Consider the following 13,902-nt stretch of genomic DNA (forward strand, 5'->3'; position numbering starts at 1 on the left):
TAATCTGTTGTCTTCTAAAATTTTTAAAAATGAACATGGATTATCATTATTTTTAGACAGGCTCTCTCTTTGTTGCTCAGGGTGGAGTGCAGTGGCATGATCATGGCTCACCGCAGCCTCAAACTCCCAGGCTCAGGTGATTCTCCTGCTTTGGCCACCCCAAGTGCTGGGATTATAGGTGTGAGCCACCACACCTGGCCAGAATTATTTTTTTAATAAGAAAAAAACTCAAGACAGAAGATTATACCTGACAATAATGAAATCATGGTATTAATCTACTGGCACAAATGCTCAAATGCATTTGTAGTTGATTAGAGAAATGTAATTTTGGGGAAATTAGATTGTTTTTTCTGCTTACAATACTATTAAAATTTGCTTGCATGGCCTAAAATATACCATTTGAGGAGTAGTTCTTGAGTGGGTGGCACCAGAGACACAGGGAAGCATGCATGAAATAAAACAGGTTGATCAGTCAGAATCTGACTGTATTTCATATTTATCATGTCTATATTCTTTTACGTGTTAAAAGTCAAGCTCAATGGGAAACTTGACTTTCAAGTTTGCAGCTTCAGTCACATGAGCTCCTTTTGACTACAGATATTTGTCCTTCATAAAAATTAGTCTCAGGGAAACAGTTGGGAGGGCCCCATAGAACGAGTGACTCACAAGTTTTCTATAGATAACACAAAGATTCTTTCCAATAATACAAGAGCAGGATATATCTGAATCCTTGTGGAAGTATATGTAAGAGACAACAAAGCCAGGTGTCTTGCAAATGGAAAAGCCAATGACAGTTTTGCAGTATGATCTACAACCAGAAATGCCAACACATACTGGTCAGTTAAAGTAATGGAAAAGAAGTCCCCCTCCCAACTCACAGCTTTTCATGAGTAATTTCATAGCTAATATACCACTATGAATCACTCTAGACACATATATCCTAGAGTGTCAACAAGTTATTTCAGGGCACAAGCCTTCAAAGGCATAGTCTGAGTGCCTCATGAAATAAACTCTTGAATATTCAGAGTGAGGTGGATCCAGTTTAGTCAGTTCCTGAGCATTTATTCTCCTTCTCTTCTGTTTCCCAGCTTCTAATCATTTCACAGTTCATAAACGTCCTCAAGAAGAGAAAGGAAGTGAAATTCAAACCAACTGATTTACTTCCTTGTAAGCATTTTTGGTGAAAGTGTGTGGGAAGTGGACACAAAATGAGGTTTTGGCATTCTCCATTGATTTTAATTATTCTTGTTAACTTTGTTCCCACTAAATGTACAGATAAGAACTAAAACTCTAACACTTGAGAGAAAAATAGACTTTAGAAGCTTTCAAAATCTACCTGTCAGAGAGGTCTCCTTGGGCTAATTACAAAAGGTCACTAAATGTTCAGGAACCATGAAGAACAATTTTTAGTCACCAATTTTTTGGTAATCATAAAAGTAGGGACTCAAAGTGTAGCTACAAGGTTTCATATGTTTGAAAGTCCAGTAGTCTCTTGTCTCTCAGTTATATAGTAGCTCCCACCAGCTCTGCTCAGATATATCAGAACTTAGACACATTTGGCAGATTTGAGAGTGATCTTAAAGGATCATCCTATTTGGGGCCAGGCGCGATGGCTCATGCCGGTAATTTGGGGCCAGGTGCGATGGCTCATGCCTGTAATCCCAGCACTTTGGGAAGGACTAGGTGAGTGGATTGCTTGAGCTCAGGAGTTCGAGACCACCCTGGGAAACATGGTAAAACCCCATCTCCACAAAAAATACAAAAATTAGCTGGGGGCTGGTGGCACACGCTTGTGGTCCCAGCTACTCAGGAGGCTGAGAAGGGAGAATCACTTGAGCCTGCGAGGCTGAGGTTGCACTGAGCTGAGACTGTGCTACTACACTCCAGGCTGGGCAACAGAGCGAGACCCTGTTTCAAAAATAAAAATAAAATTAAAAATGAGGGCCAGGCATGGTGGCTCATGCTTATAATCCCAGCACTTTGAGAGGCCAAGGCGGGCAGATCACCTGAGGTCAGGAGTTCAAGACCAACGTGGCCAAGATGGCAAAACCCCGTCTCTACTAAAAATACAAAAATTAGCTGGGTGTGGTGGTATGCACCTGTAGTCCCAGCTACTCGGGAGGCTGAGGCAGGAGAATTGCTTGAACCCGCGAGGCAGAGATTGTAGTGAGACGAGATCGTGCCACCGCACTCCAGCCTGGGCGACAGAGCGAGACTGTCACACACACGCACACACACACTAAAAGTAATAAAATAATTAGGAAGTGATGAGGTTTGAGTACTTATCACTTTTGTCTTTAAAGTAAGTTACATTTTATTTATGTATAATAAAATTTAATAATTACCCCTGCCCATGAGTCCATATGGGCTAGCGTTAGCACACCACTTAAAGTGGCTTTAAAACTTACCAGGAACACATGCTCAAATATCTGTGTAGGGCTATCCATTTGACCAAGGATCACTATCATTTCATTGTCTATAAATTCCTTGAATTCCCGCAAGTTGCACACCATTTGCATTTCCAACTCTGTTCTTATCTGAAACAAAGATGATATATTGGACCCATCTCTTAAAGTCCCTCTGTACTTTCAACCATGCACTATTTCCAGCCCCACACCTACTGTTATCCCACTGCTAGCCTTGGAACAAACAAGGACTCAAGGTCTCTTACCTCTTTGGATGTAATATTCTCCAAATCCTTCTGCATCATGATCTCCCTTAATTTGGTTTTAATTAGCCTTTCTGTTCGTTCACGTTCAGTAGGTCTGAGAAGAGAGAAATAACGATTATTCTTAAACGATATTCTTAATAACGATTATTCTTAAATGGGAAAGAAAGAAGAATGATCCTGTCTTCTTCAATAAGGCAAATCCTTTTCCAAAATCGGTTCTAGAGATCAACAACTTAGAGCGTGGGTCCCCAGTGAGTACCGGTCAGTGGCCTGTTAGAAGCCGGGCAGCAGAACAGGAGGTGAGCAGCGGGCAAGCATTACTGCCTGAACTCCGCCTCCTGTCAGATCAGTGGCAGCATTAGATTCTCATAGGAGCGCAAACCCTATTGTGAACTGCACATGTGAGGGATCAAGGTTGTGTGCTCCTTATGAGAAGCTAACTAACGCCTGATGATCTGAGGTGAAACAGTTTCATCATGAAACCATCCCCACTCCACTGCTCCGTCTGTGGAAACTGGTCTCTGGTGCCAAAAAGGCTGGGGACTGCTGACTTAAGAGCCCTTCCATCCAGAATGCTTTCCTTTTAATGACAACTCTCACAATATCTCTGTGAAACACTTATCCTTTTCTATAGGGAGAGGAAACAAACAACTGAAAAGCTAAATGACATGCTGATAACCATGCTGGGGCAGGAGAACTACAACGCTCAGCCTAGCCTAATGCTCTACCTGAAGGATTATGTCACTTCCTTTAGTCTTCTGACTCTCTTAAAAATAAAATCACCCTTGGAACTTTAATATGAAATCAAACTAGGTAGCTGACTCTCCAATTATTAGAAAGGTAGTGGTTCAATGTAACTGGATACTCCTCCTCTAAAGCATTATTTCAGATTATGCAGAATTTGAATGAGGTTGACAGAGAGTACTTTGTTTCATCTCCTCCCCAACTCCCACCACCTACTCAAGAAAGGTATCTGGCTCTGCACCTCCTTATTTGGAGATGAAAATGGACTAAGCTTTCAGGCATCCTGCCTGCCCTTGCTGCCTACAGCCTTATCACTGGTTGCAAAAATAGCTTTGGTAATCTCCAAAGATGGATGCTCCAACCCCACAACCTTGGGGCTTCCCACCACTTGGACTCTTAATTTCTCATGAACCCTACAGAATACAGCTAATACCTGAGCTGTTTCTCTTCAACCAGCCAAGGTATTCCTGTCTTAACTAGGATTAAAATTCTTATCCATGCTTTATTTGTCCTAGACATAGCTAATGGTAGAAAATAAATGTATAATTTCAGTCTTCCATTAAAAATAAATATTGGGCCAGGCACAGTGGTTAATGCATGTAATCCCAGCACTTTGGGAGGCCGAGGTGGGTGGACTGCTTGAGCTTAAGAGTTTGAGACTAGCCCAGGCAATTGGCAAAACCGCGTATCTACAAAAAATAAAAATAAAAAATTAGCCAGGCATAGTGACACACAGCTGTAGTCCCACAGCTACTTGGGAGGCTGAGGTGGGAGGACTGCTTGAGCCCCAGAGGTGGAGGCTGCAGTGAGCCCTGATTGTACCACTGCACTCCAGCCTGGGTAACGGAGCAAGACTCTGTCTCAAGGAAAAACAAAAAGGTAAAAACAAATTTTAGTACCTGTGTTCATGGGTCAGATTCCCTAGTTCCTAAGCAATTTTCCCCTCAATCCCTCACAAGTGTTTGAGGCAGAGTGGTTGGGGAGTAGAAAGACCTAGGTTTTAATCCCAGCCCTGCTATTGGTGGTGTGACTTCTAACAAGTTCCTTCTCTTCCCTGAGCCTCTGTTTCCTTTTCTATAAAATGAGTAGAGCAGGCCGGGTGTGGTAGCTCACACCTATAATCCCAGCACTTTGGGAGGCTGAGGCAGGTGGATCACCTGAGGTTAAGAGTTCGAGACCAGCCTAGCCAACATGGTGAAACCCCGTCTCTACTAAAAATACAAAAATTAGCCGGGCATGGTGGTGGGTGCCTGTAATCTTAGCTACTTGGGAGGCTGAGGCAGGAGAATTGCTGGAGCCCGGGAGGTGGAGGTTGCAGTGAGCCGAGATAGTGCCATTGCACTCCAGCCTGGGCCGACAACAGTGAGACTCCGTCTCAAAAAAAAAAGAAAAAAAGAGTAGAGCAATAATACCTGTCTCATAATATTCTTATGAGGATTAAACAACATGTATGAAGTGCTGGGCATAACACCAGATGTGTATCCCATATATGTATATTCCCTTCTTCCTCCTTTCCTTAGATTTCAAAATATAAATTATTCACAGCAGAGTATTTCAGTCCATTTTGGCACACATTCTCCCTGTATTCTCAGCTTTGTTTTATAAGCTTTTCTAGTCAGTTTAGGGAGGAGGAGGAATGGAAAAAGCATTACAACACACAAATCTGCTTTTTCCTCCTCAATTTCATTGGAGAAAAATTTGGAAAATACATAAAAATATAAAGTAAATAAAAACCACTGAAAATCCCTCTACCCAGAGATAATTATTAACACTCTGGCCTACAGCTTTCATGTATTCTTTTTCCGTAAACAGACAGAAGTTCTTAAGATATATCTCAAAATTAGGGTTATTATTATACATACTAAGAACTAACAGTTAATAAGCCTCTATCATTTGCCAGGGACTGCCTTTATGTTTTTTGCTTAGGGATGTAAAGAGAGTAAGAGCAATATCTTTCTTCCTCTCTTCTTGTTTGTTGTGTAGTATCAAAATCTTCTCTAATAAAATCTTTTTTTTTTTTTTTTTTGAGACTGAGTCTCCCTCTGTCGCCCAGGCTGGAGTGCAGTGGTGTGATCTCGGCTCACTGCAACCTCCACCTCTTGGATTCAAGTGGTTCTCCTGCCTCAGCCTCCTGAGTAGCTGGGATTACAGGCGCCTGCCACCATGCCTGGCTAATTTTTCTATTTTTAGTAGAGACGGGGTTTCACCATGTTGGCCAGGCTGGTCTCGAACTCCTGACCTCAGGTGATCTACCTGCCTTGGCCTCCCAAAGTGCTGAGATTACAGGCATGAGCCACCACCCACCACGCCCGACTGTCTCTAATAAAATATGGGAAAAATGGGAAGAAAAGTTACCTCTCTCTCATCTAAGTCTGGTTTAGAATGTGCTTTTTTGAGCTAGATGAGACATCCATTTCTCTGAAACCCATCATCCAGCTGTAAAGCATGAAATCACCAGTAACATTTCCCATGAACCTTTATCTTTTCAATTACTGTGAGATCTTGAAAAGACCAAGGCTACTAAAAAGAAGGTCCTAGCAGCAAAAACATCCTGTGCAAAAAAAGATTCCACTGCTTTTTTGACTGTTCCTTTCATACAATTTTTGGAAAGTTCACCTTTTCTAGTAAAGAGCATTTTTTAGGGCAGGTGTGGTGGCTACGCCTGTAATCCCAGCACTTTGGGAGGCCGAGGCAGGCAGAGACCAGCCTGGTCAACATGGTGAAACCCCGTCACTACTAAAACTACAAAAATTAGCTGGCCGTGGTGGCATGCGCCTGTAATCCCAGCTACTCGGGAGGCTGAGGCAGGAGAATTGCTTGAACCCGGGAGGCAGAGATTGTAGTAAGCCAAGATCATGCCACGGCATTCCAGCCTGGGCGACAGAGTGAGACTTGGTCTCAAAAACTAAAATAAAATAAATTACTCTGTTAAAAAAAACCCAAAAACCATGAACTGTTTTGGCATGACTTTAGGAATCTAAAGGAGAATCCTGAAGGTCAGACAGTAACTAGCTACTCTTCTTTCCCTGCTGTAGAATACCTTGGAAGTGCAGAAAGATCAAATTAGAGCAAAAGAAACATCATGACGAATTTACAAAGCAGGCACTAAGTGTAAAAAAATTTCCAAAATAGTCACAGAAGTTTCAACACATAGACCTAAAAAGGAAATAAACATCAGCTTTACCTTAGGCCTTTATCTAACTCACAGTACACTAGGGAGATTTAATTAAATTGTACTGACAAGGACTTAACAAGGCAAAGGTAGAGCAGAATGACATCTGAATGATAAAATATTTAAAAAAAATTTTTTAAGTTAAAAATTAGCAGGCTGGGCGTAGTGGCTCACACTTGTAATCCCAGCACTTTGGTAGGCCGAGGCAGGAGGACTGAGGCCAGGAGTTTAAGACCAGCCTGGGCAACATAGTGAGACCCTATCTCTAAAAAAATAAAAATTTAAAAATTAGCCAGGTGTGGTGGCACATGCCTGTAGTCCCAGGTACTTTGCAGGCTGAAGTGAGAGGATCACTTCACCCAGGAGTTTGAGGCTGCAGTGAGCTATGATTGTGCCACTGCACTCCAGCCTGGGTGACAGAGTGAGATCCTGTCTCTTAAAAAAAAAAATTAGCTTATTAGTTAAGGCATTCTTTTAAGTTGACTGGAAACATCTTGTTTTAAGTATTACAAACATGACTTTGAAAGCTTCTTTATATCACTAATATGCTTACTAAAATGATTCTTTCAGATAATGCAAACTCAAACTTCAGCCCAACTCCTTTAAACTCAAATTTCAAATTAATGGAATCTGAATAATGAAATTTTATCGTATTGAAGTTTTTGACTATGGAGACTCTATTGTGCCTTGGGGTGAAGCTTCTCAGGCCTTTGCAGGCAACAGCAAGAATAGGATTCTTCATATGTGGCAGACACGTGCTATTCACAATGACTAATATTCCTAGGTAAGATTAACTCCCCAAGAGAAAAGATTAGGGAGGAACATGCTTCTTATGACTCCTCAGGACATAATGGAGAGAACTTCCATAATCCTTAGCAAACTGACTTACATGTCGGTGAAGAGAGCTGGAGAGTCGGGCCGGTGGGACTGTACATCTTGCATTGCATTCCATTCATTGACTGAGGATTGATCTGAGTTGATATGGCTCTCATAATAACTCACCCAAGTGAGAAATAGGCTGCCTGGGTAGTAGTTATGCGCTCTGGCGACTTCACAAGCCTTGTGTAAGCTCTGTAGTGCAGACCTGAAAGACATGCTGGGAAATGAGCACCATAGAACTGTGGGGTGCCAAAGGCCAATAACCTGTGTACTCCAAACTCTTCTAATTTTTAAATTCTATAGAATTTGTCCTCTGGACAATCTACTCCTTGAAAGTCAAGATTCTCCAATTCTGATTATACCATATTATCTATCCACAGCAATGGACAAGACATTTGCTGAAAGATATGATGCATCATTAAGGTAGGGAGAAGGCGGGGAAGGACAGCTGACAACTCACCAGTGAAAAATAGGTCCAGGTACCTATGGAGCACATGATCCTATAGTTGGGACCATGCAGTGACTGCCGTATCATTAGAAAACTAAAGATCTGAATAATTTGCCATATAAAGATTTGTTTCCCTCAGCACAGGATGTTACAGCATATATTTTCTGTAATTCTTAACAGGCTTCACAAAGATCACATAGATAGATGTCCCTAAGCCTTGAGGACATGTCCTTTAATGTCCAGGAAGTGTTGATCTAATGATATTTATTATTCCTGCTGCCTTAGTCTCCTAGTCTCTTTAAATCCATGAGCTACTTTCTAAGAACAGATCTGGTTATTCTTTTTTGTTGAGACAGTGACTCACTCTGTCACAGAGGCTGGAGTGCAGTGGTGTGATCTCTGCTCACTGCAACCTCCACCTCCTGGGTTCAAGTGATTCTCATGCCTCAGCCTCCCGAGTAGTAGCTGGGATTACAGGTGCATGCCACTACACCGGGCTGATTTTTGTATTTTTAGTCGAGACGGGTTTTTGCCATGTTGGTCAGGCTGGTCTCAAACTCCTGGCCTCAAGACATCTGCCTGTCTTGGCCTCCAAAAATGCTGGGATTACAGGCGTGAGCCACCGTGCCTGGCCTAGCTCTGGTAATTCTGAGACTAATTAAACCTTCTGGCTCTGTCTGAACTCAGGAACCCAAGAAGAGTAAACAAACAGAAAAGTATGTTTTTCATTATATATGTGGGAAAAGCTTAAGGTAGAAATACTAGGAAGTTATACAAGAGCAAGAACTTTTCTACATTTTGTTTACCCAAGTGACTAAAAGAATACCTAGTTCACAAGTGGAGCTCAATTAGTATTTGTTGAGTGAAATGTCATTAGCTATAAACTAATGTCTCCCTAAGAAAAAAAGACATTATGGCCAGGCACGGTGGCTCACGCCTGTAATCCTAGCACTTTGGGAGGCCAAGGTGGGTGGATCACTTGAGGTCAGGAGATCGAGATCAGCCTAACCAACATGGTGAAACCCCATCTCTACTAAAAATACAAGGATTAGCTGGGAACGGTGGCACATGCCTGTAGTCCTAGGTACTCGGGAGGCTGAGGAGGGAGAATCGCTTGAACCTGGGAGACGGAGGCTGTAGTTAGCTGAGATGGTGCCACTGCACTCCAGCCTGGGTGACAGAGTGAGACACAATCTCAAAAAAAAAAAAAAAAGTATTTTTGTTTCCCTCATAGCAAAAGTGATCCATGCCTACTTTAGAAAATTAGGGACCTCACAGAAAAGGCAGAAATATCTTGTAATCCTACCACCCTGAAATAACCACTGTTAAGATTTTAGCGTAGATCTTTCCAGTCTTTTTGGCTATGCATAGATGTATAATAAACAAAGATATGACCATATTCTCCATATCATCTATAACTTGCTCTTTTGCTTTACAGCCTATCATCAACATCTTTCCATGTCAAATATTTTTCAACTGGATCATTTTTAATGGTTGCATAATATTTAATGATATAGATGTACCATAATTTACTAATTCTATTTTTCAATCATTTGTTTTTTATTTTTTGCTATTATTAGAACACTGACAAACATTCTTAGAGCTAAAATCTTTGCACACATCCATGTTTACAAACTTAGAGTAAATCCATAGAAATAGAGTTACTAGGACAAAGATCATGCAAAATGATAAGGCATATTGGCAAATCACTCTCCAGAAAGGCTGCTCCAGTTCATTCTTCCACCAATAGTACATCACAGTGTTTGTTCCTTGAATCCCTGTCAACCCTATACAATGTAAATTAAGAAAACAAATTTAAACCAATTTAATCAGAGGAAAATGTGTCAGTCCATTTTTATTAGGAAAACACATTTTTCCTTAAAAACAAAGTTGCAGAGTCTTTTAAAAATGCTTTATATTACTCAAAGTAAGCCAAAGTCTCAAGAGAATAATCTGAGAATTTCAGTTTCATTACACAGATTCAAAGGTAAGAGCCAGCTTAGTGTAACTTACAGGATGCCTAATGCATGTTTCTTCATCTAGGAAACACATGCTCCAAAAGCATATGCCACAGAGTCTGGTGCAACGGTCCTAAAATACACTCAAGGCCTAGCCACCTCAGATACTCCAGCTGCATCAGAGTGGGAGGCTGCAGTAACTATCTTCCTGTGAAGGAAACACCTGGTCTAAATGTTGCTTTGATCCACACATCATCTATTTTTTTCCCCCTGTGACTTCAACTCACTACTCCCCATAAGGTATATCAAGAAAAGTTTATTTTGCAATAAGAGCTAGGACCAGTCAATTTACTTTTACAGGGGTGTCCAATTTTTTGGCTTCCCTGGGCCACATCGGAAGAACTGTCTTGGGCCACACACAAAATACCGTAATGATAGCTGATGAGCTTAAAAAAAAATGCAAAAAAATCTCATCATATTTTAGGAAAGTTTTATGAATTTGGATTAGAATTTTAGGAAAGTTTTATGAATTTGTGTTGGGCCGCATGCAAAGCCATCCTGGGCTGCATGTGGCCTATGGGCCACGGGTTGGACAAGCTTGCTTTAGAACATCAAAGCTTGATTTAAGGTTATTACTTGAATTAAGACTGCTCTGTACTCTTCCCCAAAATATACCTGAAAATGCTGTCATTTATCGTTGTTACTGCTGTTTGGTTTTACTTGTTACTTAGGAATAGATAAGTCAATTGTCTTTAACTGAGCCTTAGTCAAAGGGGGTCATAAATTTCCTGTTTTCCATGAGAAACTTACCTGCAAAATATGCCCTAACTCTAAAAATCTGGTCTAAACACATGACCTGAAACTGTCCTATCTCAATCACTGCAGGAAATGATAAGACTTAATTTTTCAGTGAGTCTTTGGATTCCACCCACCTCCATCCTATCAATTCTGTTTTCAGGGGTAGATTATCTCCCTGGGGTCTTTTTCAGGCTCTTTTATTTCTTGTTTTGCTTGCATTCTATCCATTCCGCTCCCCATGGGGACTTCTACTACCTAACAGGCAGCTGAATAGGAAACTGAAATTCAAATCCCTGACTGGGGAATGGATTCTGAATCTTAGTCACATCATTCTCTGGTTGTATTAGATAATTTTCTAGATAATCTAAAATAAGAGAATAAGAGGCCAGGTGCAGTGGCTCACACCTGCAATCTCAGCACTTTGGGAGGCCAAGGCAGGAGGACGGCTTGAGGCCAGGAGTTCAAGACCAGCCTGGGCAACACAGAGAGACCCCCGTCTCCACAAAAAAAATTAAAAAAAAAATTAGCCAGGTGTAGTGGCACATGCCTGTAGTCATAGCTGCTTAGGAGGCTGAGGTAGGAAGAACACTCGAGCCCAGGAGTTGGAGGCTGCCATAAGCTATGATTGCACCACTGCACTCCAGCCTGGGCGACAGAGGGAGACCCTGTCTCTTTAAAGGAGAGAGAGAGAGAGATATGAGAGAGAGAGAGAGATCTATCCTGTCTAAATGTAAGAAATACTCTCAGGGCAGTTATGTAACCCATCCAAAGCATGTTTTCTCACCCATAATAAGGGGCTAATAATATTATTTTGGGGGCTTGGTATGATGATTAAATATAATCCATGCAAAGCATCTGGCATGTAGTAAATAGCCCTGAAATGTCCATATGCCAGCTGATGGTTATTAGCAAGTATAATGTTTTCTCTAGGCTTTATTTGCATTATGCAAATAGCCACCAGCAGTTTAAATGGAAATTTATTTATCCATAAAGTAACGAATGCTATCCCTGGTTACCTTAGGAAATAGCTAATGCAGGCCAGGCGCAGTGGCTACGCCTGTAATCCCAGCACTTCGGGAGGCCAAGGCGGGGTCAGGAGTTCAAGACCAGCCCAGCCAATATGGTGAAACCCTGTCTCTACTAAAAAATACAAAAAAATTAGCCAGGCGTGGTGGCACATGCCTGTAGTCCCAGCTACTCAGGAGGCTGACGCAGGAGAATCGCCTGAACCCGGGAGGCGGAGGTTGCAGTGAGCCGAGATCGCGCCACTGCACTCCAGCCTGGGCAACAGAGTGAGGCTTCGTCTCAAAAAAAAAAAAAGAAAAAAAAGAAATAGCTAATGCATAGCAATGTGATGTTCTAGATTTGGCTCTTAGTCCACTAACTAACTTAGTCAATATGTCCCTAATAAAACTCGGTATCAACTGGCTTATCTAAACCGTTAAGTCTCTGCCAGAGCCTAAGAATAACACCTCTGAATTCCTCTGAATTTCACTTGTTCACCAATACTCAAGGCCTTCCAATTGCAACAATTTGAATATTGCATTTCTAGGTCATCTTTAACTACGATGGTTATACAAACAGATCATTTAGCATTTTCATAGCAAACTGTACCATTTCAAACATTTCTTACAAAATATTCCTCCAATAACATTAAAACACTTTTGTAGAGATAGTAAAAGTCATCTTACCACATTGCCTGCACAGATACAGGTTTGAATATGTGAACTCTGTTATCCGTCGATACACTGAACCCACTAAGGACAAATGAGAACAAGACAAAAATCCACAAATTAGGGTAGGTTATTTGAATTGTGAGTTTTCATGGATGTATCCCAGGCTAAAAACAACTGGCTCCGTAGAGGGAATCATCAGGCATTTCACGTAGAAGTTTTAACTAGAGTGTAAGACTTGACCAAAAAGCTTTGACAAATTGTCTGACTTCATCTACCAGGCAAAATGAATGGATTCCTATATTGGAGTTAGAGAATTCAATACAGTTTCCCAGCTGTAGCTATGGACAAACTGTTCTGTATATTTCTATTTGGAAGTCTTGTGGGTTCTTAGCAAACCTGACCCTGGTTTTATAAACTGGAGCAAACATCTTGGTCTCTTGGGGACACATTCTAAAAACATTAGGAGGTAGGGTGGGGGTGGGGTCACTGGAAGGAACTGGCACAGGAAAGGGGTTATACTGTAGGCTGACAGCTGGCAGAGGCAGCAAGAGGTTATTTGAAACAGAACATATCATCCTTTGGGAGAGCATTGCAACAGTCCCACATACTCAGATTAAAGAGCCAACAAACTAGTTCTTCTTTGTCTTGATTCCTACCACAGTCGGCCTAGAAGAACAGAAGTGAGAGACCCTGGCAAGTTGTATTTTTACTCCACTTTACAAAACAGGAGTTTAAAAGGACTCATTCAGCTGTTGACATGAAAGTTCAGTTGGCACACTGGGCCTCCCTTTTAGCTGAATGAATGTGCAGTAAGATGGAGCCCCACCCCTTGGCTTTCTGTAACAGAATAAAAAAGGAAATCTCTTACCCATCACCATCCAAATGAATTAGCGTGTCGCTCCAGAGAGGCAAAACTAAGCCCATGGTACAAGTGCTACTGCAAGACAAGAAGTAGTCCAATAGTTACTCCCCATTACTCTGGGAAGCAGTCTTCTGTTTACTAACTCTTTCAACACCAAGGATAAACCCTTAAATTCTAAATTCTGGCATAAGTGTTACAATGAAGAAATTTCTATCATATTATTATTAATCTTATGTATGTCCTCAGGAGCTGTTTTAAAGAGATAGTCAGTCAGTTCCTTAAATATTTAATGAAGAAAACTTACTGACTCAGCTTCCTACATTGTCATCTTGCAAATGGCCACTATCTAAAAAATGCAGATGATTGCTGCTGACTTGCATTTGGCAGGTCTTAGCACATAGTACAGTGTCCACCTCGACTCCAAGGATTTTTTTTTTTTTTTTTTGAGATGGAGTCTTACTCTGTTGCCCAGGCTGGAGTGCAGTGGTGCAGTCTCAGCTCACTGAAACCTCTGCCTCCCAGGTTCAAGCAATTCCCCTGCCTTAGCCTCCCCAGTAGCTGGGATTACAGGCGAGCGCCACCACACCTGGCTAATTTTTCTGTACTTTTAGTAGAGATGGGGTTTCACCATGTTGGCCAGGCTAGTCTCGAAGTCCTGATCCACCCACCTCAGCCTCCCGAAGTGCTGGGATTA

The 13,902-nt window shown here is 41.5% G+C and overlaps 1 protein-coding gene across 15 annotated transcripts in view, besides 2 other annotated features; it reads right to left on the reverse strand.

Moving 5' to 3' along the window:
- Positions 1–13,902, reverse strand: part of SSH2 (slingshot protein phosphatase 2) — a 304,291-nt gene that overhangs the window by 38,521 nt on the left and 251,868 nt on the right. For 12 of the 15 annotated variants that reach the window (XM_047436967.1, XM_005258058.4, XM_047436968.1 and 9 more), the window contains 5 exons: positions 13,215–13,283; positions 12,362–12,427; positions 7,477–7,671; positions 2,672–2,765; positions 2,409–2,537 (listed from right to left, as the gene is read on the reverse strand). In XM_047436967.1, coding sequence (XP_047292923.1) covers positions 2,409–2,537; positions 2,672–2,765; positions 7,477–7,671; positions 12,362–12,427; positions 13,215–13,283 — 553 coding nt within the window. Of the gene's footprint in view, positions 1–2,408; positions 2,538–2,671; positions 2,766–7,476; positions 7,672–9,380; positions 9,702–12,361; positions 12,428–13,214; positions 13,284–13,902 lie in introns of those variants that run through there. The other 3 variants (XM_047436971.1, NM_001282130.2, NM_001282131.2) reach the window with 1 other exon arrangement.
- Positions 3,226–5,398: an enhancer, noted in NCBI's record as "VISTA enhancer hs1675". NCBI's record gives its function as "enhancer in: heart[8/10]" and the evidence as "EXISTENCE:transgenic organism evidence [ECO:0001131][PMID:17130149]".
- Positions 9,920–10,120: a silencer, noted in NCBI's record as "peak2783 fragment used in MPRA reporter construct". NCBI's record gives its function as "represses an SCP1 promoter by STARR-seq MPRAs in K562 erythroleukemia cells {active_cell/tissue: K562}" and the evidence as "EXISTENCE:reporter gene assay evidence [ECO:0000049][PMID:32103011]".

This window comes from Homo sapiens, chromosome 17, assembly GCF_000001405.40.
Source record: "Homo sapiens chromosome 17, GRCh38.p14 Primary Assembly".
NCBI classification, from domain to species: domain Eukaryota; kingdom Metazoa; phylum Chordata; class Mammalia; order Primates; family Hominidae; genus Homo; species Homo sapiens.